The sequence below is a fragment of the Homo sapiens genome, chromosome 6, assembly GCF_000001405.40.
Source record: "Homo sapiens chromosome 6, GRCh38.p14 Primary Assembly".
In the NCBI taxonomy this organism is placed as follows: Eukaryota; Metazoa; Chordata; class Mammalia; order Primates; family Hominidae; genus Homo; species Homo sapiens.
In genome coordinates, this window is record NC_000006.12 from 119180210 (window position 1) to 119208051 (window position 27842).

General features: G+C 38.2%; 1 protein-coding gene across 4 annotated transcripts in view, besides 1 other annotated feature; it reads right to left on the reverse strand.

Moving 5' to 3' along the window:
- The window catches only part of MAN1A1 (mannosidase alpha class 1A member 1), a 173401-nt gene that overhangs the window by 3005 nt on the left and 142554 nt on the right, over positions 1-27842 (reverse strand). For 3 of the 4 annotated variants that reach the window (XM_005266986.5, NM_005907.4, XM_011535833.3), the window contains 6 exons: positions 24550-24673; positions 21045-21138; positions 13568-13683; positions 9455-9674; positions 8196-8368; positions 103-218 (listed from right to left, as the gene is read on the reverse strand). In XM_005266986.5, coding sequence (XP_005267043.1) covers positions 103-218; positions 8196-8368; positions 9455-9674; positions 13568-13683; positions 21045-21138; positions 24550-24673 — 843 coding nt within the window. Of the gene's footprint in view, positions 1-102; positions 219-8195; positions 8369-9454; positions 9675-13567; positions 13684-21044; positions 21139-24549; positions 24674-27842 lie in introns of those variants that run through there. The other variant, XM_047418775.1, reaches the window with a different exon arrangement.
- Positions 26099-26168: a silencer, noted in NCBI's record as "silent region_17509". NCBI's record gives its function as "represses an Ori minimal core promoter by ATAC-STARR-seq in GM12878 lymphoblastoid cells {active_cell/tissue: GM12878}" and the evidence as "EXISTENCE:reporter gene assay evidence [ECO:0000049][PMID:35858748]".

A 27842-nucleotide genomic window follows, 5' to 3' on the forward strand; every position in this document is an offset into this window, starting at 1 on the left:
TCAGGCATACTTGATATTACTTGAATGTGTTCATGATAAAGACATCTACAAAGATCTGTTCAGGTACCTTAGCCACATGGTTTTAGAATAATTTTCACCTACTTCAATGTCTCTGCCAGGAAGAAACTCTGCTGCACATCATCATAACTCTCATGAAGAAGGTAAACATCCCTTAGGCCTGAATAGCCTCCATTCACTCTGCAATGGTTTTCCAAGGCCTAAATTATAGAGGAGGAAAAAAAAAAGTCACATTTCAGTAAACTGATTGTCACTAATTTTTATTATTAGATTGTCAAGTTCAGATAAAACATTTTTTTTTTTTGAGACAGGGCCTCACTCTGTTGCCTGGGCGGAGTACAGTGGCACCATCATGGGTCACTGCAGCTTCTACCTCTTGGGCTCAGGTGATTCTCCTGCCTCAGCCTCCCAAGTAGCTGGGACCACAGGCATTCGCCACCATGCCTGGCTAATTTTTTGTATTTTTTGTAGAGATAGGGTTTTGCCATGTTGCCCATGGTTGTCTCAAACTCCTGGGCTCAAGCGATCTGCTTGCCTCGGCCTCCCAAAGAGTTGGGATTACAGCCATGAGCCACTGTGCCCAGTCAAAATTTATTTTTTACAAATTGGATTCAAATTAAATGAAAGTTTGTTATAGAGTTTTAGGTAAAAAAAAATTAAAACCATAAACTAAATGTAAATTAAAAATGAAGTCATAGAACATATGGACCACATATCTTACCTAATTTGAAACACTTCTGCCTTTAGTTTTGGAAAAATTTTTCACTGATTTTTACCAATTCCCCCTATGGTCTGGAGCAGGGTTTAGCAAAGTATGAACTATAGGCTAAATCCAGTCCACTGTTTATTTTTGTAAATAAACTTTTATTAAACCACAGCCATGTTGTTTAAATATTGTCTGTGGCTGTTTTTGTACTACAATGACAGAGCTAAGTAGATGCAAAAGAGACTAGCTGGCTGTCCCCCAAGCCTGATATTGTCTGGCCCTTAACAGAAAGAGTTTGCTGACCCCTAGTTTGGAGAGACTGCTAATGTCAACTGGGATCATAAACCACTGGTTGAGAAACCGTACTGGAACAAAATCAGCTGCTTCTATAATCAGAGTATCTGAGTTTCTGAAAATTGATTGTAGGGTACTCATCAGTGATATTGGTAACAGAGCTAAAAGAAGAAAATGAAAGACAGTGAGAGACATGTGGCTGGGATCTATTCCTAAAATACATGTTTTTTTTTTTTTTCAGTCTAGTATGGAAGAAGATGGGATGACTCCACTGACAACTCTCTAGAGAGAAATGATCCTACATTTCTGTAGTTGTCTGAATTTAATGAATATTTGGAAAACAGATGGGTTGGGCAGTGTGAGGATGAACATTTAGGTAACAACCTAAACCAACCTGCCTTCCACTTTGTTGGTTACCACTAAGATGGCTGCTGTTTGTGTTTTCTTTTTCCCTTTCAGAGCCCACTTTCTTTCTTTTGTTTGTTTCTATTTTTCTTTAACCTTTTTCCAGCTTTACCGATGTATGACAAATACAAATAGTATATACTGGAAGGTGTACAGTGTGATGTTTTGATATACACTACTTCTGTGGATATACACCATCTTCTGTGGTGGATATACATCATCTTCTGATGTGGATACACATCATCTTCTGTGGATATACACCAAGAATTAGGATTGCTGGATCATATGGTAGCTCTATTTTTAATTTTTTGAGAAACCTCCATACTGTTTTCCATAATGGCTATATCAATTTTCATTGCCACCAACAGTGTACAAAGGTTCCCTTTATTCTGCATCCTCACTAAGACTGATTACCTCTTGAATTTTTGATAATAGCCATTTAAAAAGGTATGAGGTGATATCTCACTGTGGTTCTAATCTGCATTTCCCTGATGATTTGTGATGTTGAGCATCTTTTCACTACTGGCCATCTGTACGTCTTCTTTGGAAAAATGTCTCTTCAGGTCCTTTGCCTATTTTGAAATCAGGTTGTTTTTCTGCTACTGAATTGTAAGTTCCTTATATATTTTGGATATTAACCCCTTATCAGATATATGGTTTGCACACATTTTTGTTGTGTTTTTAGTTGATTGTTTCCTTTGCTGTAAGGAAACTTTTTAGTTTGATGTAGTTTCATGTGTTTATGTTTGCTTTTGTTGCCTGTGTTTTTGGGTCGAATCCAAAAAATCATTGCCAAGCTCAATGTCAAGGAGCTTTTCCCCTGTTGTTTTCTCCTAGGAGTTTTATGGTTTCAGGTCTTACATTTAAGTCTTTAATTCATTTTGAGTTGTTTTTTTTTTTGTGCTGTTTATATTTTGAAATTACATTTGTTGCTCTGCTAGTTACCAGGCATATTCATCTCTAGGAAAGTTATTTTCTGCCATCACATCCTACTAATCCTATTAATTATATGGTCAAATAAAAATTTCCATCGTACAAAAATTGCCATCTGCAATCTGGTTCTCATTTATTGACTGTAGACAAAAATAATAAAGTTTAAGACTAAAACCCTAATATATTTTATAGTGAAATAAAGAAAATGTAAACAAGATATACTTACTCTTAGTTTCTCATGTCATTTTTCACTTACGTTTCAGTTTTCCCCTGTGGATCATAATTCTGTCCCTCTTTTTTTTTTACATATATAATTGTACCCCATTTTTCTCCCATTTAATCCAACTACCAAGAAGATGGAAAGCATAGACTTTGCCTTATCAGTTGAGAAAAACCTTCTCTGGCTAGAAAGGATTTTGGAGGAAAATAAGGCTCTAAGAATGTAGAGCCCAGAAAAGAGGCGAGGGAAAGTAAGTACCAGCCACGGATTCTCATGAGCAGAGATGTTGCACTGAGAGCTCAGCTCCCATCTGCAGATACTGATAATGAGGTTATTGATTTTTCACATCAGGGCTGGAGGACAGAAGGGAGAGAGCAGAGAGACTATGAGGAGAAGCATTTAATTACCTGGTTAAAGAAATTCTGGCCAGCAGGCCACATGAATAAAGAAAATAAAGAAAATGCCTCATGATTTCATACTTTTAAAAAGCCCCGAAGAAAATAAGACCGATCAACTTAAAAACAGATGCTTCGATTAAATTCTAAGTTCCAGACAGTGCGTCAAATGGAGGATGAGCATGAAGAAAGAAACTTTCAAGTCCTATTATTTTTTCTTTCCTCCTTTTTTTTTGACAAAGAGTCAAATACCAGATATGTAGAATAAGCCAAAAATTATTGGTTAAAAAAAGGAAAAAAATCAGAATTTAGAAAAAATGGGCAAGGTTTTTATGGGAAACCCTATTTCCGGATATTTCTTTAAACAGATTTTAATCCCAAAACCTTTTCTTAGTTGTTCCCTTGAGGTTTTTTGGTAATGAGCTAATGAGAGGGCCAGCCATGATAAACAGCCACTCCTCCTCTCCATGGAAACTGCTCTAAGCTCCTTCTTTTGTTAGAGGAGTTGCTTTTGGGGTGGACAATGCCTAATCACCTTTCTTTCTAGTTCACCCTCTCATTCTTGTTCCCCACAAGTCCTCTTGGGGTAAGCTATAGTATTCAAGAACACAGCCAAAAATTTTGAGTAGTGGGCCAACTTCCAGCTTGAGACCCCCTTATCAGTGGCCCCAGAGGTTCCATGTCCCAGGCAGCATCTTCCTTCTCAACATGGGGTTGTACGTGAGAATAAAACAAAATGAAGAAATGCTTAGACAATAACAAGGGCTTCAGAGGTTTAGAGAGGCCCAGTCACTTTGCTTTTGAAGTTTTTGGTAAATTAAAAAAAAAAAATTTTTTTTTAAAGGAAAAGCACCCAAGAACTCCCCCTCACCCCTTACGCAAAAGTCTAGATTTTAAGACTTTAGGAACGTGAAGCTGGGGACAAATAGCTTTCCTGGGCCCTTACAACAGCCCTGATTCTATCAGCATCTCAACAGTGGAAGCTGTCATGTGTTTGTATGACTAAGTCTAACCAGATCATCATTGTACTATAATCTGTTCTTGGGATTCTCAGCCTCTAGGCATGGGGACCACCTTGGTTTTGAGTAAATGCTTCTATTATTAGTGATCCTATGTGACTGGGATGTGCAAATAGCAGAGAACAGGATATGAGAATGTTTATAATGATTGGAGCTCTAAACAAAGGATGAAGGGTAGGTAAGAAAATAGCAAGCATCATGAGTTAAATCCTAAGTCAGAGGACAGAAGAGTATTCTCTTGCCTACCAGATATATAAATGGCTGATCCGTGGAGTAAGGCTGTCTGCTTGAGTGTCGTCTGAACTCAAGGATAGAACACAGAGAATCAGGCACCTTGAACAAATCAAAGAGGGTTTGGAAACAGGATGAAGCCTGAGGAGGCAGGAGTAGGAAGGAGGAAAAGAAGTCACTTCCTGAGAGTCGAAATGTCTGAGTGGAAAAGGTTAGGTTTAGAAGAGCAAAGAAAATGTCTGTGCAAAAAAACAAAACCAAAAAACCTGAAACTACCAAAAAAAAACCCCCTAAAGCCAAAAAAAAATCCCAAATCCCTAGGTAAGGCTTTACCCTTTACCATAGATCAGCTGAGACATTATATAATCTATGTGAATATATACATACAATATTCTGATAAAGCTCATGCTGTAAGTTATCAGATGTTTAAATGGAAGGAATTTGTCAGTTTCTCATGATTTTTTTTTTTAAAATTTTCAAGAGAGTCTCGCTCTGTTGCTCAGGCTGGCGTGCAGCGGTGTGATCTTAGCTCAAAATAACCTTGAACTCCTGGGCTCAAGTGATCCTCCCTCTTCAGCCTCTTGAGTAGCTAGGGACTATAGGAGTGTGCCAGCATGACGGGCTAATTTTTAAATTTTGTAAAGACAGGGTGATGACTTGTTGCCCAGGCTGATCTCAAACTCCTATCCTTGAGCCATCCTCCCACCTCGGCCTCCCAACATGCTGGGATTACAGGCTTGAGCCACCACGCCTGGCTTTCATGACATTTTTGAGAAAAAGCAAAAGAAATTATCAGTTAAATATTATTTCTGTCAGGCAGACTCACAAGTGCTTGAACACCTGTGATTAATGGAGTGCTGTTAACCCACAAAAGAACTCTCTAGTGTTGTACTGCTGGATTATATACCTTTTCACATCTTATTTGACATTATTATTAGAAATTTAATTAAGACACAGAAAGCAGGTTTCTCAAGTGTATCAGTGAAAGAAGGCTGGGAAGGGAGTGCTTTGTTAGAAGATAGGAAGACGGCTTACAAATACTTTACAAACTGAAAGTATGGGTGAAAAAGCACAGTGCAAAGGAGATGTGACTCAACGGTAGCAAATGGAGAAGCTAACACTGACCATAATTTCAATATAAGCCAGTTTTTCTTTATTTTTTTGGAGTTGGAGTCTTGCTCTGTCCCTCAGGTTCGAGTGCAGTGGCGTGATCTCGGCTCATTGCAAGCTCCGCCTCCTGGGTTCATGCCATTCTCCTGCCTCAGCCTCCTGAGTAGCTGGGACTACAGGCGCCCGCCACCACGCCTGGTTAATTTTTTTTTGTACTTTTAGTAGAGACGGGGTTTCACCGTGTTAGCCAGGATGGTCTCGATCTCCTGACCATGATCATGATCCACCCACTTTGGCCTCCCAGTTTTTTTTTTTTTTTTTTTTTAAATATAAATCTACTAAAAGAACAAGTTGGACCATAAGCTGTGAAAAAATCACACTGCGAAGAGAGAAGAGAGGTTCACACTATTCAGCCCTAAAAGACCACAGCTGGAAACCAGGTCAGGAGAAGAAAATCAAGGGAAATGATGGATGAGGAAAGGAAGAGATGGCAGAACCTGCTGTCTTCGGATAATTGAGGAGCTGAAATGCAGAAGGGAGATTTTTTCCCTCTGGTACCCCCAGAGCACAGAACACTGTAAATTGTGGCTTCAAAATAAATAACTTTCTAACACCTTCAATATTACCAATTGGAATGAGTTACTTTATTAGGTGATACATTCCCCTTTGCTGGAAAGTCCTTGGGTTGATGAGGAACAGCTATCTTGCAAAGATATGGAGGGGAGTCTTGTCTTTAAGCGGAAAGCTGGATGAGGTGATTTTTAAGACCCCCTATGTTTCAGTTTGCGTTCCCTTAAAAATAAAGCATGAGACAAGGGTTGGACGCAGGATGCAGGAAGTCTATCAGGGAGGTGACATCAGGAAGTGGGCAAGTGGGAAAAGCAAAACAGGGACAGAAGAGCCAATGAATCATATTGTTCAACTGTGTGCAACGAGGCTCACTCCTGCTAGAAACCCTCTGAAGAACCATGTAGCATGCATTCCAGAATGATTCTTGAAGGAAAGAAGACTGGGACAGTTATCCACCAACTCCAAAACCTCCTTGGTTGACAGCCATTAACTCCCCAGCACTTCCCAGACCACAGCCAGCTGGCTAGGGAAAAGCTCTTCCACCTTCTTTTCCTGACATGGTTTCCAGCTGTGGTCTCAAGTATGCATCAGAACAGCCAAGTGCTGGAGGTGGGAGCTGCAAGCATATGCGGGGCTGCTGCTGAAACACAGGAGGCCACGGGGGTGGGCATAACACCAGGGGAAAAACGTGCGGCCATGCCTTCGAAGTCCCAGTTTTTCTGGTTTAAAAAATGCAAGACCCTACAGCACTCCTGGCTCACCACTATAGCTCAGGTTCTAGCAGAGGTTACTGGGGGCATCCCCAAAATTGAGACCTCAGTGTTGTGACACAGGGAAACGATTTCAGGTCATATATTATGTTAAAGAGTTGACAAGAAATAAAAATCATAACACATAAACCAACCTTATGATCTCATAAACAAGCAACCCCCTGAAGAACACAGCAAACCAAAGCATCCTGTCTACCTGGCAATACGAATTTGCTTACTTCCCATTTTTGATACCTTCTCGGCCATACATTTTGTACATTCTAACATCTATAAAATGGATGTCATAACTTAATTGGTAGTGTTATTTTTCTTAGTGGTATATAAAATAATGATGCTTCTTACTAATTATGGTGTTTTAGATTTGATGGAACACACCATTCCTGATATTTTCAACTTAAAATATTCAATTCATTTGCTGGCCAATTGAAGACCAAAACAATTCCCTATCACCAAAGTTTAGAAAAGCTTCAACTTTAACATTTTCTCCAGAGGAAAAAAACAGAAATGTAAAGAAATTACAATGACTACTGATTAAATGTAATAAAACTGCCCCCTCAAAGAGGCCTAGAGAATTGCTGTTATTTAAAATGACTGATGATTAATGATAAGACACATATTAAATGAAGAGGATAATAAGCAAGATTCACCGATGGCTTCCTAAGATATTAGTTAAATTTTACCAAAGGCAATATTCATTTTAGATTTCCTGAGAGAAGTCATTCCTCATGGACAGTTTTTAAAGATAGCTAACTTTCTAACAAAGAGTGCTAGAGAATGAGAGTGTAATTAAAGAATTTGCTTGTTCTTATCCCCTGAATTCCCTCCCACTCCTTGAGGAATAATAACTCTTACAATTAGACAGACATTGTTAGATGCATATCCTGCAGGTTGCCTCCTCAGGCATTCGGCACACAAAGCATTCACTAGATTGGTTTAGGAAGGAGGTATACTATCCTCAGCAGGAAGAGACCCAAGAGGTGACAGACAAAACAACACACTGGGCAGATGGAAAGCTTATAGATATTCCAAGAAACCTGAGACTGGTAAAGGAATATCCTTATACAAAGTAATTCTTCTATAAGTGCTTTCTAAAAGTTAGATCTAAGTAGCTATTTACTCTAAGTAAAAGCATATACTAGCATTTTAAAGCCCAAAGACAGAAAAAAACATGAAGTGGTTTATTGAAATAGAGGTGAATACCCCAAGCTGCCAACAACCCTTAGGTGGAATTAAGAGATCATCATTTTTGTATTAATGGGAACTTAATTTTAGACTATGCCTTTCTAGTTATCTCCTTCAATATCTAAGTCTATCAGTAGATATATCTATATCAATGTTATACAAAGCAAAGCTGAAGCCAGGGATATAAAATGACTTCAATGAAAATACACAGTCCTGGGTGGAAAAAATCCTGGTCGAAGCATTAAAAATTATAGAAAAGTTGATAAGCCTGATTTATGGGTATCACTGAACATTTTTTACTATGAAATTTATCTATAAGAAACATGCAAATTAAAACATCACCTCTACGGCTTCCCAGGCCCATTTCCTGTACTTTGGATCATGAGTCAGTCTCCACATATACATGTAAGTCTCCATAACTTCTGGCCGTAAGATGTAGTATTTTTCATTTTGTCTTGTAGCGATGGCTTCAACACCACCATCAAATCTGAAAGCTTCTGGTCCCAGTTTCATAACTAAAGGACATGGAATGAATGAATAAGGGTTATTTTCCTGGACAGTGCTTACAGTCAATAACTTAAATGAAACTAGAAAGTACAGTCATCCCTCAGTATCTATGAGGGACTGGTTCCAGGACCCTCCGAGGATAACAAAATCCATGGATCCTTGAGTCCCTTATATAAAATGGCAAAGTATTCGCATACAACCTGGGTACATCCTCCCATATACTTTAAATCACCTTGTTTACTTATACTACTTAATACAGTGTAAATGTTATGTAACTAGGTGTTATACTGTATTGTTTAGGGAATAAAGATAAGAACAAAAACTCTATAAATGTTCACTACAGACAGAACCATCCATTTTTTGGGAACATTTCTGATCTGCAGTTGTGGAACCCAGGGATACGAAGGTCTGACTGTACTTTAACAACACTGAAGAGAAATGTCAAAGTAGTCATTTTAAAAACGAGTTATAAACATCATGTAATATATAATATTCATATACTTAAACAATTTAGTCATTGAAAAGAGTCCATTTTAGAAAATATTAACAATTTATTTTTTTCATTTAACCCCCATTTACTGAGCACCCACCAGGCAGATACAAGGCACCATGAAATACCATTTGAGTTAGCCAGAAACTTAGTGGTTGACAATCCTAAGTAATTTCGTAACAGAAGGCCAGTTATTTACACTTTGTGTTTCAAATTCCTATTTTATAAGAAGGGAGTGGGATTCATGATCTGTTTCATGGGGGATGTGGAGAAGATTAATAATGGTTAATAAAATGCTAAGTTTCTCTTTGCAGGGAGATAGAGACCCTTGCCCAATGTTATTGGCAAAAGCAGAAGTCAGTAAATTAGGCTGGCTTTAACTCTTTATGGCCTGGATTTTTGTTTCTTGGTAAACTAAAGGTAGATATTTTTAGGAAGAAAAGCATTGCCTTTTAAAATAAAATATACATTCCTTTGAGACATTAATCACGATCATCAAGCTTCATAGGCAGAGCGGATAGTCTTTTGAGGGCAGCAATGACAAAACTGCATTAAATCAAAGCATGTGGGAATAGACCATAAATGAAGAATAACATGTACTCACATGTTCGATTATATGATTCATGACAAGTACGGGCAATTTCAGCCCCGAGTTCAAGGTAGTGTTGGGCCATGCCTTCGGGAGCTGCATCAGCCCCGAGTGCGAACATGCCCCCCGCGAAGCAGGTCAGGTGGCCCATCTTGTGCTCCAGGAGGCCCCCTTTCCACTCTGCGATATAAGTTAGTCCGCTGCTAGACTTGCGGATCAAATGAGTCTCGATAGCCTGTGAAAAACACTTATTTTTTAACATTTTGTAATCTCTTCTCAAATTTATACTAAAAATATGCCCAACATTAAAAAAAAAAGAATAGAATACACCTGACAATCAGAGTTTGGTGTTAAAAATCCATTCAACCTGAAATTACATGCTATTGCTTTCTGTATTCCTCCTCTAGTTTATGCCTTATTTGTTTGATTAGTCAGAATTAACACTGCTGCGCCAGCACATTTGGTTTTGCTTGGTTCTGTGACCAAACATTGTATTCCTCATATTCAAAAAACTTTCTCCTTCCCAAAGACAGGCCACTGTGCAGCAGTAATAGTTGGTTTGGTACATTTTCATTTCCATAAGTGGTGAAATAACACAGCCCAGGCCCTAAGGTGGATGAAGAACACAGCATATTTGTGCATGAGATCCAGGATGGTGGCAGAACTCTTCCTTTCACTTCTGTAGGCTTGGAGGGATAACAAAATAGAGTGGCAAAGAGGAGGTGTTCTGGGGCCAGAAGACTTGGCTTCAAATTCCAGCTCTGACACTATCTCTAATTTGTGGGAGTGAACAATTTGCTTACTATATCTCTAAATCTCAGCATCCTAATCCATAAATGGGAACAACAGGATCTCCTGATACGACTCTGCCACATTTTGTTTATAAAGCAGTCACTAATGCAAGTGGCACTTGATAAGAGTCATTTATAATTATCATTTACATCTCCAAAGTGGTGACGCTTGAATCAAGTTCCTCTCTAATACTTCTATTAAAAAGCACACTATTATATAATGAATAAATGTATATATTTTAAAAATCAGAAAAATCTTTAAATTTGGGAGAAATGATAATGTTTACAAAAATGATTTATAAAACATCTTTTATTTCTATCCCAGGTCTGTTGATATTCTCTTAAACTAGACAGGTAAGTAAAATATGCCTTATATTTTAAAAAGCAAAAATAAAGTGTGTTTGGCATTGCTAATCTCCAATTACTCTAACAGAAAATGTTCTCCCCACTGCCCCACAATTACTTCATGGAAGGAAAAAGGACATGACTGTGTCTATACCTGTACACTGCTATCAAGAGAGAGGGATTTGTTAGGAAGCACATTTGGGAATAATAGACACAGAAAAAAACTTGTGATAGAGAAGAATGAATGAAAATGAACACACAGGAAGCTAAAACCTTTCCTACCTTTATTAGAAATAAACGAATGAAACCAAGATGGTAAGAAATAAATGAACATATTACTGTGCTCATTAACCGTGGTTAAGCTAATGTTATTGATGGTTTAGTTATTACATTAATATTTCATTCTTATTTTATGCGACTGAACATCTTAGCTATTTATACTTCTCATAACACAAATTGCAATAAAGTCCTTCAAGCAGATACTTGTTCATCACCTAAGAAATTATTCTTTCTACATGGCAAGAGTAGTAGCTTTTGAGGATGAATTAGAGAAACATTATTACCCTGTTATGGATCCTAAATAAAGTATTTCTGGCATGATTCGGACCAAGTTGCTACCTCCTAATAAAAACTACAATGAAATTCCAAGACCTTCAAAGCAATAATTTTGTGTGGCCATGGGAAATATAAATAAATACAAAGAAGGATAGTCTTTAGTAGATCTGAAAAAACTGTGTCAAGGATACAGATAATTGATTAGAAAAAAGAGTACTATATATTTTGTGATTTAATCCTTGTATAATTGATTTAAAAAACTGGTTTGATGAAGCCTTCAGAATCGTAAGTGTCTGATATGTCTTCTGCCCAGGTATCATTTGCCATTGTGAGTTCCTAGTGTAGTCTCCAGATAGGGCCATGATAGCCAGTTGAAAGCTCAAAATATTTTGTTATTAAAATAATCAAATAAAACATATCACTCTGGGATTAAATGCTTCCCAAAATCTACTTGAAGCTACAACAGAGTAGCCATATCTTCAGTAATCAATTGTCCAGAACAATAGTGTACAGCATCCTCCCCTTGGTTACAATAATCTTCTAAAGTACAACTTAGCAGAAATAAACTTTGCTGTATAAGACAATGCTACTTCTCAAAACAGAAATTTAGTTGTTCTAGCTTTGCTTTCTAAGTTGAAAATATACAGTGGATTGAAAATTAGCTTTTACTACTAAGAGAAGCAGGAAACACTTTGACTTCATTTGTTCTTAATGGATTTTCCTGTCAATGATTTGTCTGAATACAATATACTAAAAGTTGTGTGGGTATGGTTTTAGGAATTAGGAAGAAAATATTTCAAATAATATTTTAAAGCTGTCTTTTTTTGAACATCAAGATCTTAGACGGCCAATTTAAGATTAGAATAATTAAAATGTCTGCCAGTATGGTAATTAGAGGATGACAGAATGGAAACTATAAAATATGGAGAACTCCCCAGGTTAAAATCTGAAACCTCACAGCAATGAGGAAAAATAAACCTAAAAGAGGCCATGTGGATCATATCCTAGTTTGCTTTTGATGTTAATCATGTGCCTTTATAAAGGCTGTGCCAAATGTAGGCCAACGTTCTCACTAAGGCGCTTCTGGTTCCTACATGTGAAGTAGTGAAGACTTGTAAAGGAAACCAATGTCATACTCAGTGTAGTTAACCAGAACAAAGCAAGCTGCATTTATATTTAAATAAAAAAGTACGCCTATGTCAAAATAACCCAGACCTCTTGTTAGAAAGACCAATTTTATAATGGCTACATCTTTGGGATTACAAATTTCCATTTTTTTCCTATGAATTAACACTTTATTAAAAAATTTCTAAGCTGTCAAGAAAAATAAAATTTTTCTGAGGACTGAGCCACTATTTTACAACACTACTTGAGAAGCCTTGATAATAATATTAAAAGAATATATGTATTACCACATAAAATACTTAATCGCAAAAGCACCTGATTCCACTAAAAAATTTTGTTCCTGAAGAGTACAAATATTTTAGATAAAGTAATTTTCTTTCTAACTTTATTTACTTTCTAACTTTATTTTCGGTTTTGATTGAGGCTTAACTGGAGGTGTTTCTTAGTTTACTTTTATACTAGCCTCCTCCTAGAGACTTTAAGTAGTTTCTAACTTACCTTACTAACTTACTGCTTGCAAATTAGTAAATGAAGATTTAAGTGTAGAATGGAAATTCTTACAAATAAATCCACAGTGGATGAGTTAAAAGGAACAGGTGCTGATATAGACAAACTTTAATCTTAATTTTGGTTCGACATGTAATCTCTCTGAGGTACAGCAACTTTATCTGTAAAACTGGGTAATAATCTCAAGTACTGTGAGAGAGAAAAAAACCCAACTCCACCGCTTCATTTAAAGGAGCTACCTAACACACAGCTTAGCACATGGTAGGCAATTCAACACTCAACTGTTGCCTCTTACTTCTCCACTGTAAAGAATCTTTGATACTATTAATGATCTTCCCTGAAATATGAGTTTGTTCAGATTTTTATGTGTGGATTTCCTTAGAGTACTGTCCATTTATCTCTGGGGACAAGTTTACTTCACATGGAGGTAGCCATTGGGACTGTCTGTCTTCTCAGGCAATTTTAACTTAGGCAATTGTCAGAATACAAATTCAGGATTTCCCCCTGCATAATTTAAATTGTGGTCCTAAGGAGAGAATTCATATTTATCAAAGAATACTACTTTTTCAGATATGTGACTCTTAACTGAGGTTTAAACCATGCAAAAACTTTAACGGCCCTATTAGAAATAAACATCAAATATGATTACCATTATTACGATGATATTAGCAGATATCGAACTCTACCTAATTGGAAATACTTTGTAACTCACTCATGTAGTATACCACTTATTCATTAAAACTTGATTAATATACAAATTATAAGTTAGGGCTGAGTGGCAAAGATGATTTAAATATTGGGTTACCTGAACAGCATCAAAATACATCTTCTTAGCTTCCAGATCTGTCTTGTCAGACATTAACCAGGCCTTCAGCAAATACTCATAGAAGCTGTCTCCAAGTCCTCCAACTGATACATGATCTGGAAAGAGAGGGAAATGAATTTTAGAGTGATTCAGCTTTTAATTCAGATAATGCAGCAAAATCACATTAGCAACTAGGATGCAACCCTATGTCAACTGCAAGTCACTGTTACATTTAAATTCCAACAAATCTCTTATTTTCAGAAAGATATTCTGAAATGAGCAGATGGGCTATTAACTAATGTAACATACTCTAAATAATTACCAGAGTAGTTTTGTAAACATGGAAGATAAAAGATATGTAATTACCCCTAATTCTAAAAATCTGGTTCTCTAGTGAAAAACACCCAACTAAAATGTTCACAGTATATATTTAAATACATTTTTATTTGCTTTAGTTCTGAATAATATAAAATTCTGGCAAAGCTATGAGTATTAGCAAATCTTTTTTAGAAGGTGGTTTGTAATAAATAAAACAAGAAGCTCCTCAGGTTCTTGCCATTATTATTATTTCTAAACTCACTCTGTCACCCAGGCTGGAGTGCAGAGGCACGATGATAGCTCACTATAACCTCGAACTCCCGAGCTCAAGTGATCCTCCTGCTTCAGCCTCCCAAGTGGCTGGGACTACAGGCACGCATCACCACGCCAGGCTCATTTTTAAATTTTTTGTAGAGACGGCATCTTGCTATGTTGCCTCAGCTGATATACAACTCCTGGCCTCAAGCAATCCTCCCACCTGGGCCTCTCACAGAAGAGGGATTACAGGCATGAACCACTGTGCTCAGCCTATTATTATTTGATAAATTTTCTAGTGCTATGAATCTGAAGGGTCAAATACCTATGGGACAGGGGCAGTCAGAAAGGATATGGGGCAGAAGAAGAAGTTTTTCCTCCTAATACTCCATTCCTATAGTCCACCTTCACTGCCATTTATCATGCCAGATCCACTACACGTATTATCAACAATCTCACAACTGTAGGATAGGTATCTTCATTTTTTTTCTTTTTTTTTTTTGAGACGGAGTCTTGCTCTGTCACCAGGCTGGAGTGCAATGGTGCGATCTCGGCTCATGGCAACCTCCGCCTCCCAGGTTCAAGCTATTCTCCTGCCTCAGCCTCCCGAGTAGCTGGGATTACAGGAGCCCACCACCACACCTGGCTAATTTTTGTATTTTTAGTAGAGACGGGGTTTCACCATGTTGGCCAGGCTGGTTTTGAACTCCTGACCTGATGATCTGCCTGCCTCAGCCTCCCAAAAGTGCTGGGATTACAGACATGAGGCACTGCGCCTGGCCCAGAGTTCTAATGACAGTGCCCCTTCAATCTATTCCCCACATTAATGCCAGAATAGCCCTCTTAATACATGAATGAGATCACCCTTTACTCGAAGCCTTTCAATCCTGTGTGTTTGGTGCCATGCAAGATCTCAATCTTCTCTATGCCATTCAGTCTTGCTCCACTTGCTCTCTGCTCACTTGCTATAAAGCCCTTCTTTTGGCTCCTCAAAAACATCAGGTTCCATCTCATCTCAGGCAGGGCTTCTATAGGCCTTGTTCTCTCTGCCTGAAATGGACCCTAGGACCCCCTTCCCCTTCTTTAGTAGTTCTTACTCATACTTCGTATCTGGGACCAAATGACACTTCCTCAAAGGAGTGTTCTCTGACAATGCCACTAGGTTCCTTTGTCACACACTTTTTGGTAGCACACACTTATCACCTGTAATTTCATAATGTGGTAACATTTTCTTCTGTCTCCTCCACAAGATTATGAACCAAGAGGGCAGAGACCAGACCTATTATGTTTCCCAGTCCACCCCAGCCCCTGGAAAGTGTCTTGCACATGGTAGGTACTCAACAAATAACTGACGAACAAAGCAAAATTCTTCTATGTCAACCTTAATAAAGGGCTGTAACTACTCAAGCTAAAGAGCCATGTTTTAAAGTAGTTAAGTATGTGATTTTCTTTTTGCAGAAAGTGTAGAATTATAGTTTAAATTTTAGTGTAAAAATATATTTTAAAAATTCTAAGTCTGATTCTTGAAGTGACCTTTACAGTTTCCTAAATCAACACAGAAACCTCTGACATTTACAAACTAAATAGACTAAGTACGAACTCATCAATAATAAGCCCTGTTGTTATCAACATGATTGTAGGAGACACATGCAAGTGATGCGTGGAAAAGCAAATCATGGTTTGGCATTGTCAAAACAACACTGACTCGATGAAGTGATAGGAAATGATGGCCAGGATCCAGACGTGTCATTTGGAGTTAAAGCAATGAGAGCTGAAAACCAATGGCCAGAAGCAGCTTGATGTTTTCCTCCCCTTGGGTTATGATTTTCTAATAGACGGAAGAAGCAAGTTTGAGCAGCTGGGGATTTTTTTTAAAAAAGAAAAAAGTGTTATATAAGAATACATTTGTTTTAATTAATTTTGGTAAGTGCTAGTTTTCTATTTTTAAAATTTCCTGCCTATAAAAATTTCACATTAAAAAAAAAAAAACAAGACAAAGGAACGTAGAAGAGAAACAGGTCTTCTCATTAATTTAGCATGTCACTCACTAAGCTTCCTTCAGGCCTGGATGGCTGTTTGTCAACACAGTCCTGTGTAAACATCTTAGTGGATGTCGGGGAGAGCAGGCCCGAATTTATCAGCAGGAAAGGATCAACCTACTTCTGGAAATAACATAATATGGTATTTTTATGTCCAACTGCTCTAAAGGTGAGGTGTACTGTAGTCAGTCAAATATTACGCTCTTCTCTGAAGGAGTAATTTATTCTTTTCTTCATAAGAATAGGTCCCATAAAAGGATTTCTAATATCTAAAAAAGAGAAAAAGCAAGTAGCAAAAGAATCAAGACAAAGAAGAATTAAAATACTCAATATCTCCCTTTTAAAATTTTTGTTGACTTCATCTGAATTTCTCTCTTTGAAACAATCCCCCAATGATGCTAGTGACACTACACATAGCTAGCTAGACTAGATATAGATAGATGGATGGCTGTTATAGAAATCAAGGGATGATAAATACTCTGTGTACAGACAGGAAACCCTGCCATCTGGCCTCAATAGTAACAAGATCAGTTCATATTATCAGTGACCAGGACCGGATACTGCCTTTCAGCCACAACTGAGGAGCAGGGGCAACTGCTAAAAGAGAACAAGCAGAACAACCATTAAAAGCAGAGGCAGGTCCAGCGTGGTGTTTCACACCTGTAATCCCAGAACATTGGGAGGCCGGGGAGGGCGGATCACCTGAGGTCAGGAGTTTGAGATCAGCCTGGCCAACATGGTGAAAACTCATCTCTACTAAAGATACAAAAGTTACCCTGGTGTAGGGGCGGGCACCTGTAATCCCAGCTACTTGGGAGGCTGATGCAGGAGAATCGCTTGAACCTGGCAGGTGGAGGGAGCTGAGACTGCACCACTGCACACTACCCTGGGCGACAAAGTAAGACTCCGTCTCCAAAAAAGAAAAAAAAAAAAAGGTAAGGGGCAAAAAGATAGATCAGATACAGAGCACATATGTATTCACAAAATTCAAGTAAGTAAACACCTACTAGGTGCAAGACACTGTGTACTGGCTTAGTAAATATGACTAAGACATGGTTACTACCCGCAAAAGCTTTGGATCCTTAGGAAGATGCATATGGATGTGAATCATCAGGAAAAGGTTTGTGATAGGAAAGCACTCAAAGCGCTGGGGCAGGGAAAGAATAGAGGAAAAGTGGATGCTAATAAATCCCAACCGGAGCACTGAAGAGGGGATCCTGGAAGAAATGGCAATTGAGCTGGGTCTTGAGAGGTGGGAGGGCTAAGGAAATGGCACAAGCAAAGACCTGAACATGGCCAAGCAGGCCTCGATTGAAGAATAAAAAAATAAGTGTGTTTTCCTCTGGCTAGAACACAGAATGGGGGTTGGGGCAGGAGAGAGAGCTAAGACTCATCAATCCTGTTTTGTTTTTTGTTTTTTTTTTCCATCAGGAAATTGGCCCATAAGGAATCTAAATATAAAGGGCTCTTTGTACTAGGAAACATGGCCAAATACATAGCATACAGGTGACCCAGAAGGTGAAGCGGAGATGTTCCAGTACAACTGGCTCCTTCTGTCCCCCTTCATAGCAGCTTCTAAATCCTAAATCATAGGAAGGAAACAGTAAATGAAGGAGACTTTTCTTCAGCTTTTGAAATGTGTGGTGAGGAATACTCCAAAAATGCTTGTGCTTTTAGAGAATCACATCCTGTCACCTTATACTTAGAAAAATATACAAGGGCCAGGAGCGTGGCTCACGCCTGTAATTCCAGCACTTTGGGAGGCCAAGGTGGGCGGATCACCTGAGGTCAGGAGTTCGAGACCAGCCTGGACAACATGGTGAAACCCCCATCTCTACTAAAAATACAAAAATTAGCTGGGTGTGGTGGTACATGCCTGTAGTCCCAGCTACTCGGGAGGCTGAGGCAGGAGAATTGCTTGAGCATGGGACAGGGAGGTTGCAGTGAGCTGAGGCTGTGCCACTGCACTCCAGCCTGGGTGACAGAGCGAGACTCCCATCTCAAACAACAAAACAGAAATATACACAAGTTGTTTTATCCCTAGTCCTCTGGTGGCCCTCAAACTGTTGAGTCTCAGCACCCTTTTGTAATCTTCAAAAGAAATGGACACCCCAAATAATTTATGTAAATAATACCTATATTTACTACATTGGAAAATTAAAATAATTTAAAAATATTTTCGTTACCTCGTTTAAAATAATAATTACATGCCCATTATGTTAACATATACAATTTTTCAAAAAAGTTATATTTTACAAAACAAAACAAAAAATTAGTGAGAAGACTGACACAATTTCACATTTTTGCATATCTCTTTCTTGTTTGCCTTGACAGGAGACAGCTGGATACTCATGTCTGCCCTACTTTCAATCCTTTGCTATATGTTGTTTTGGCTGTAATACATCAAGACAAGTCAGCCTCACACAGTAATACAGTCAGAAAAAGAAAGGATATTTTAACAGGCTTTTCACACAATTGTGGATATTTTTCTTTGATATTACAACAATAGTCAACAAGTGGTTTCTTTTTTAAAGGTTAATTGCATTGTAAAATTAGAAATTACATCAATGAATTTTCGTATTGTTACATTAAAAGCCACTGGTCTATCTTGTACTTTACACAGATTGTTTTCCATATATGATCTTATAATATCATGCTTTGGTCATTTGGAAAATCCTGGCTCACTGAACTATGCAGATCTTTCAAATATTGACCCATTCCATTATACAATATCAGAAAACCACATTTGTTAATATCATCATCAATCTAACAGGAAAAGTATTTGTGTCAAGCTCATGGTAGCATGTACAAGTTTTCCAAAATTCTATTTTTTATTTAGAAACTTGGATTATAATCATTGGCACAAATACTGTGACTTTTTCTTGAAGTGACAAGCTCATTTTCAAGAACATGGCTCCTGACTACCTAGCCTAAATAATCATTTTTTAAATTGTTCTTTCAAGTAAAAATGTTGAATCTGTGAAACAGTAAGTGGCTAGCTCAGCTTGCAACTCAAAACACCCAAGAGCTTTTCCTTGATGCAACTATCATTTTTCATAATTCAGCAGGAGTGATTTATGAGTATTTTCCATTTCACCTCACAGAACATGACAAAGGTGTGTACTCACAGGTTGGTATTTATTAGAATCACTAATTTTTTTTTTTTACTGTTTCAGTAAGCACATTCATAAGTGAAACCAGTATCCTTTTTTAAAATGCTATTAAGAATACAATGGGGGCTGGTGTGGTGGCTCATGCCTGTAATCCCAACACTTTGGGAGGCCAAGGCAAAGGGATCGCTCAAGCCTAAAAGTTTGAGGCCAGCCTGGGAAATATGAGACCTTCTCTCTACCAAAAAAAAAAAAAATTAAAAATTGGCTGAGCATGGCATCGTGCACCTGTAGTCCCAGCTACTCGGGGCGGGGGGCCGAGGTGGGAAGATAGCTTGAGCCCAGCTTGAGCCCAGGAGGCAGAGGTTGCAATGAGCTGAGATTATGACACTGTACTCCAGCCTGGGTGACACAGTGGGACCCTGTCCCACAAAAAAGAAAAAAAAAAGAAAAAATATGAATATTAGTACTATTTGGTGTTTGTTCGCCTTTGTTCTCAGTGAGGCTTCAGCAGTATCACCTAACACTGTAGGTGTAAATATCAACACATTAGAAAAGGCAGAAAGTCTTTCAAAGTACCACTATTAAAAGCAGAGGCAGAAAGAGAGATGAGATACAGAGCACATATGTATTCACAAAATTTAAGTAAGTAAACATCCACTAAGTGCAAGATACTGTGTACTGGCTTAGTAAATATGACTAAGACATGTATTATATGTCTTGTTATTATATATCATTATACTAGTATTATAATAAAAATATTTTTGACCTTGTGGGCCTCCTCAGAGGTCTCAAGGACTTCCAGTGATCTGTTGACCACACTTAGGTAAGTGGTAACCTTGATTATAGTCCTAAGGTTTCAACAGCTAGGCCTTCCAGAGCTACAGACATATTTTAGCATATGGATTTTGGCATATACTTTCCTATTAAACTATTCTTTAAGAAAAGTACTTCTAAAGTAATAATGAGGTATCTAAGAACATGATATTAAAATATAAAGAAAAAACCCAAATTAGAGTAAAATCTTAAGGCAGTGTACTCTTGCTACAGTTGGGTATCTCAATATTCTTCACTTGTTTTCAGCTATTTAATCTACTACTGTTTTTCCAAATCAGCTTGAGAACATTTCTTTCAACTACTCTGAATCTTTATGCCCCTGCTCAAAATCGTCTGAAGAGTCTTAAGTGCAGGCTTCTAGGATCAAAAGTTCTTGTGCAATACTTTCTCCCATCCTAAAGGTAATTCTACTGGCAAGAAACCTTTATATCTGGCAGCTTAAAATTAAGAAGAGAAAAACAGGCTGTTTGCTCTTCCAATTTCCCAACTCTTAAAAATTCAGGCTCCTCTCTCATTATATAGCCATGCAGAAACAGAATGTTAGGAAGCAGAATGGTCTACCTACTCTCTATAAAACCCTCATAGTCATTAGTACAAAGGAATGAATTTCCTTTCTATCCACATGACCAGCTTGTTACAGATTAACATCCCCACACTACTCTGGCCAGATCTTCCCTTTCTGATTAATAGCTGTAAATGTGCTTATATGTCATCACACTTGGAGTTATATATGAAAAATACACAATCCAGTGTCCTAATAACACAATCTGATGACAGAAGCCTGTTTATTAAAGGAGCCATGCCCTTTTCTCCTTTTCTAAACATTTCTCAACAAAATCTGTGCTGCTTTTGTGCTTCCTCTCTCTCCACGAGTACAGTACCAAAAAGAGCTATAATAATGCAAATCTTCTGACTTACGTTGACCCCACTGTCCACTACTGGGATTCAGATAGTTAGGATAAAGGCCTTGTGGTTTTTCCAGTTTGTTCAGTACTGTTCGAATATTCATTACCTATAATAGAAAATAAAATGTTACCGTGAAAATCTAAAAAACAATTTTCATGCCATTCTTCTTCTTCTTGAACATACAAGTTGACTTAAATGATGCAGAGTTAGAACAAAGATAACTGCTGTTAGCTTATTATTACAAACATAATGGCAGTAAGTGAATATAGTCACACTGATTAGTTATCTACCATTAGCCAGATGCCATACTAGGAACAAGGGGCCAGTGGATAAACAAAGTCACCACACTCTTAGAATTGTGCATCCTAGTGGGACGGGACAGACAATAAATCAATAAGTCTAGTCATGTGTCCCTTAATGACAGGGATACATGCTGGGAAACACAGGCAATTTAATTCTTGTACAAACATCATAGAGCACACTGTCACAAATGTAGTTGGCACAGCCTACTGTTTCTAGGTTACAAACCTGTGTAGCATATGTTACTGTACTGAAGTATTTGTGTATCTAAACACAGAAAAATACACTATAAAAGATGAAAAATGATACCTTTCTATAGGGTTATACATTTTATAACCCTATACATAAATACAGGGCACTTTGTATAGGGCATTTATCATGAATGAAACTCGCAGGACTGGAAGTTGCAGTGGATGAGTTAGTAAGTGAGTAATAAGTGAATGTGAAGGCCTGGGACGTTACTGTATAGTACTGTAAACTTTATAAACATGGTACACTTAGCCATTATTAATACATTTATAAAAGTATTTTTCTTTCAATAATAAATTAACGTTAGTTTACTGTAATTTTACTTTATAAACTTTTTAATTAAAAAAATTTTGACTCTTTTGTAATAACCATTAGCTTAAAACACACTTTGTATAGTTGTACCAAAATATTTTCTTTCTTTATATTCTTATAAGTTTTTTCTATTTAAAATTTCTTTTTAAAGTTGTTTAACTTTTTAAACTTTTTGTTAAAAACTAAGACACATATACACATTAGCTTAGGACTCCACAGGACCATCAATATCACTGTCTTCCACTTCTACATCTTATCGCACTGGAAGGTCTTTCAGGGGCAGTAGCACGCATGGAGCTGTCAACTCCTGTGATGATAATGCCTTGAAGAGGAATACCTCTTGAAGGACCTTGCTTCTAGAGCTAACTTAAAAAAAAAGTGGTACATTCTAAAATAACAATAAAAACCATAGTAGTACATAAATCAGTAATGCAGTCATTTAATTATCAAATATTATGTACTGTACATAATTATATGTGCTATACTTTTATGTGACTGGGAGTAGAGTATGTTTATGCCATCACCACCACAAACATGTAAGTAACGCATTGCACTACGACATTATGACAACTATGATGTCACAAGGCCGTAGGAATTTTGTCAACTCCATTATAAACTTACAGGACCACTGTCACATATGTGGTCCACTGTTGAATAAACACTGTTAAGTAACACCTAACTGTATAGTATGTCAGGAGATGATAAATACTGTGGAAAAAAATAAAAGGGTGCTATGGATTGAACTGCATACCCCTAATTTCATATGCTGAAACCCTACTTCCCAGTGTGATTGTATTTGGAGATTTATTTGGAGATGGTAATTAGGTTATGACGGTAGAGCCTTAAATGGGATTAGTGCCCTCATGAGAGACACAAGAGCTCTCTCTCTCTCTCTGTGACTCCTTCTCTCCCTCAGAGCACAAAGAAGACATCATGTGAACACACACTGGGACAGTTCTCGTCATCTACAAGCCCAGGGAAGAGGCTCAGAATAAAACCTACCTCATGGGCAGTTTGATCTTGGATTTCCCAGCCTCCAGAACTGTAAGAAATAAATTTCGGTTGTTTCTGGCTGCATTTTTGTTATGGTAACCCGAGCTGATTGAGAGTTAACGGGACAGGGTGATGTGGAGAGGCTATCCCATGTTAGTCAGAGTGGCCTGGCAAGGCGGAGGTGTTTGAGCAGAATATTAAAGAAGTGAGGGAGTAGGCCACGTGGAAATGTGGAGGAAGAGCACTCGGAACAGAGAGAGGAGCAAGTACAAAGGCCCTGAGGAGACAGCAGGTTTGCAATGCTACTGAGGCCAGAGGTGAGGAGACAAAGGGGAGAATGTCAGCAGGTAGAGGAGAGGAGAGCCAGGGCCCAGGTCACCCAGGCCCCACAGGCCACAATAAGGGCATATTTTACTCTGAGTGTCATGAGAAGGCTGAGGGGGTGAGGAAGGGGTGGTCAGGTGGCTACTGTATGGTGTACATACAGTACACCAGGTGACCTGATGGATCCCAGATCAGGACAGCAGTAGAGGCAGTGAGACACCCAAAGGATTTCTTAGTGGACTGGGCCTGGGGTTTACCAAGAAGAAGAACCAGGAGGAGACCACTGGGTACAGTGAGATGTCATTTACCAAGATAGCAAAGACTGGAGAAGCACGTCTAGGCGTTAAGTCCGAGGCATTTTAAGTGGGACTTGTCTATCGGGCCTCTTAGTGGAGATGTTTAATAAACAGATATAGAGTCTGGAGTTCAGGGGACAGGTTGGGACTGAAATAATAAACTTGGAGTCTAGAGTATAGAGATGGTATGTAAAGCCCAGAGACTAGATGCAACAATGTAGGGAGTGAATATCAACAAGCAGAGGCACAGGATTGAGTGCTAGGGCTTTCCAATATTTAGAGGGTGGGGTGTTGAGGAGGACACAAAAAAGACAGAAGGAGCATCCAGCAAAAGAGGAGACAAACTGGGAGAGTATTACATGCCAAGCGCGAAGTGTATCTCAGGAACGAAGAACTGACTGTGTCGAATGCTAAGAGGGCAAGGAAGATGAAGGGGAGAATGGTAAGTGGCTTTGGCACTGTTGTGCTCACTGGTCACTGTGACAGGTGTGGCTGGGGGAAAAGTCCTACTGGAGCAGGTTCAAGAGACTTGAAAAGTAGACAACAGGGACGACTCTTTCAAGCAATTTTACTGTAAAGGGAAGCCAAAAAGCAGGTTGAAAATAAAAGTAGAGTGATGGGGGGAACATGAATTTATCCAAATATTTGGTTTGCTTTCGGAAAACGAGGGACCAATTCAGCTGCAACATCACATTTGTACGACACTTTCAGTCTGTCTTTCACATAGTTGGCTCATGCAGTGCATTTATTACTAAATATTTTTAGATAAGGAAACAAACTTCAGATGAGTTAAGTAACTAACTTAAGGTAAAGGGAACCAGAGGTGGAAGCTGTGCCCTCACATCCTGAACTAGAGTGGTGCACTGGAAAGGCTGTAGGTTTACAGTTTGGCTAAATGAAATGCTGCATGTTGCAAAACTTCAGAAAGAGCTATAACAAATTTGGTTATTATTTCCACTTCAAAAATTCCTAAACCTTCTCAGAGACAATACTGTTTCTCATAAGTGTTGCTTTGCAGGCCAAGGCACATTGAAGAATCTCACCTTTTCAGCAAAGATGGGGTTTCCTGATAAGTGGCTCAAGTGCATAAACTCCAAATGCAGGGTTCCAAATTCTGCCAGAATACTGCTGCCTCCAGAGGCCCAGGGCCAGTTCCTTCCAATACCACTAAAGAAGAGATGACGTCGAAGAGTTATGGGTCAGATTAACTCCGTTTTTCACTATCTAAATAGCAGACATGAAATAGACAGCTTTTAAAAAAAGGCATCCTAGCTAATAGTCCACTCTAGATATTATAAAACCAAGCACTGTCTTCTTTGGCTACCAGTTTTAGGGTTTGTCTCCTATCTCCAAATTGAAAATTACTGTTGACTTAATTTAGAAAAAAGCTGCTGAGTACTTGCTGTTGGTGAACACACAAATCTTTTGGAAAATACAGGTGCTATATAGATGCATAACCATTCCACATAGAATATAAAAGAAAATCTGACCAAAACACTCCCACCATGCCCAAATGCCACATAAAGCTCTTCAACATTTTAATTTCAGCCTAAGAGACCAAGGAATTTTGGACATTCACATTATATACAAAATTTTATGTGGATAGAAGATAAATTTCAAAGATTCACTAATTATACACTCACTTCATCCCTCTCCAAATCTTCCTGCATTTACCAGACTTCCTTTCTTACGTGTATCTTCACACTATTTTATCTTTTTCTAAGCATATTACCTAAGGTGCTAACTCATTCTGTACTCTATATAACCTATGATCAAGAATCTCAACAAAATTATGTTATAAAAATCTGGAAAGGTGAAAGCCATGAGCTTCAGAAATTACTGCTTCATGGCCTTTCTTGGAGAAATGCTTTTTTAAAAAACTAGGCCTTTTAAAAAAGTTATAAACATACATACATACAAATACACATAAAGTGACTCCTGAGACATGGCAGTACTCTTGGGTACAGTTTATTTCTGAAGAGCCACTTAACACTTCAAGAAAGATGTGGTAATTCAAAAGAATAAAGTTCGTTATTCTCCTAATAAATTCCCTTTCTGATAGCTAAAATCCTACACTTTTAGTTTAGATGCACATTTAGTGCATGCCTACTATTTGCTAGGACTATACATGGCATTGGGTTACAAGCATGGTTATGATAATCAATCACTTTTTCTCAAAGACCTAATAGTGCAATGACAGAACAAGAACTAAGCATAAATAGTTCCAATCACACATGATGAATGCCGAGATAAATGTGTGAAGAGTTCTCTGAGCATCTAAAGCTGGGACACACAATCCAGCGTAGTGGGGATGGATCACAGAAGACTTCTTCAAGGAAGAGACTCCTGAGTTGATTCTTGAAGGGCAAGTACGAGTTGGTGAGGAAAAAATGATGAGAATCTGGGCAAGGGAGAACACACGAGCAGAGGGGCTGGCCAGGAACCAGAGGCAGCTGTTACACTGCAGAATGGAGGAAAGGAAGGTTGGTGGGAGAGAAGGCTGGAAGGACAGGTTGGAGCCAGGTCTTAATGGCTTGTGGAATTCTTGCTTTCCTCTCTTTCTAAGGTAGACCCCATCAAAATGCTCTTGGTGTCCACCCCCACTTTGTTTTTTGCCATGTATCAGTCACAGCTCTGGGTAAACCCTTTCAGTCCTGTCCTGGCGTCTGCTGCCAGGCTGCTGAGGAAGAGAGAAACCATGAGGATTACTGGCGCTTGCAGTCCTGGGCTCGCCTCACTCTCACTTCCTGCTCCTTTCTACAGCAAAACCTAGAGTTTCCTCCAAAACACTGATATACAGTACATCTAAGAAAAAGTAAAGAGAAATAAGACACAGAGATCTGAAAATGATATATTCATTTATTTTACAAAATGCCCTAAATTTATTAGGCTCTGGGAATGTGAGTCAGGTTTTATTTTCATAGTTGGCTTATAAAAAAGAATTTCCAATCATCCAAATAGGATGAATAGCTACTTTCAAAGTTTACTAACATATGGCAAATGCACATGGTAATTGGTCATTAACTAGTTGTCATGACATATCACTGTTTTATTCCAATCACTCCATCACTGACTAACGTCAATAAGCCTATTTAGCAAAACTACAAATTTCTGTGGTCTGGAGAAATATTAAAAACAAAGCTGCGACATAAGGCAATATCAGGGTAAGAGGAGATGATGACTTTATCCTGGAAAAGAAAGAGAACACAGTGTTGAGGAAGCCCAGCCCGCCTTCCAGATCTTCAGGGACTGGTTAAGTTTGGGGATTAGAGCATGTGGTAGCACACTCAGATGAGAAAGTTAAGCAATATATATGTACTAAATGAAACCTCAAATTACTTTGTATCCATGTATTTGTTCTCTGCCATTAATGTGGTGAATCGAGAAAAATCCAGAGATATACTGGAAAAGCATTCAATACGTTTAGAAACATTTCTTAACATTTAATTTAAAAAGGGTTAAATTTATCCTTCCTTCCTCTTTGTACACATTCATATCAGAAGGAAAATGGTACTCTTTTCTGTCACCACCCCCCCAACCCCCAACCACGGAAGCAAGAACATTAAAATCACTAGCAGAGGAAATGTTATACTAATAGAAAGAAAACTGGATTTAGAATATAAAGTATGTTCATATGAAAGGACATCTTTGGTTACCATTCATTCAGTCTGCAGAATTAATGTATTTCAGTTAGATTACTTATGAGATCAACGGTTCTACTGGCTCTTTATAAGTCAGGGAAGGGGTTCAAGAAATTAGAGATGGCACAACTATAGACATTAGATGAGGACATGGGGCACACATCTATCTACCACATGCCGCCACAGCTGAAATGTGTCTGTGTGTCTCAGAGAAATGGCTGCCTCCTGTCTTGCATAGCAAGCATGTAAGCTTTGGTCACTCACAGATTGAGGGAGATGAACTGAATGATTTCTAAAGTCATTTTTGTCTTTTAAATTCTATAAATCTACTGAGGAATCTATGTGTTTATAAGGCTTTAATGTTTAGAATGATGTATGGACATGGGCATTTGACACTCAAATGGGGGGGTTGGTGACAAAGGGAAATGAGGCCAGAGTAAGAGTTCAGCTCCCTTGGTCTGGTGGAGAGGGGGTCACAGTGTCTCGGGCATTCCCGGTTACCAAAGGTGAGGCTGGGCCAAAAACGAATTTTATCTATGGCAGTGGGAGATTTAAAATGTCTCTAACTTCAGTTCCATTATGACAGTATTTTAAAGACAGCTATGGTGTTATCTGGTCTATTTTATAAAAACTAATAATATTTAGAAAAATATTTTAAAGATAAAATAATAATTTGTGTTCAGAAACCATTAGTT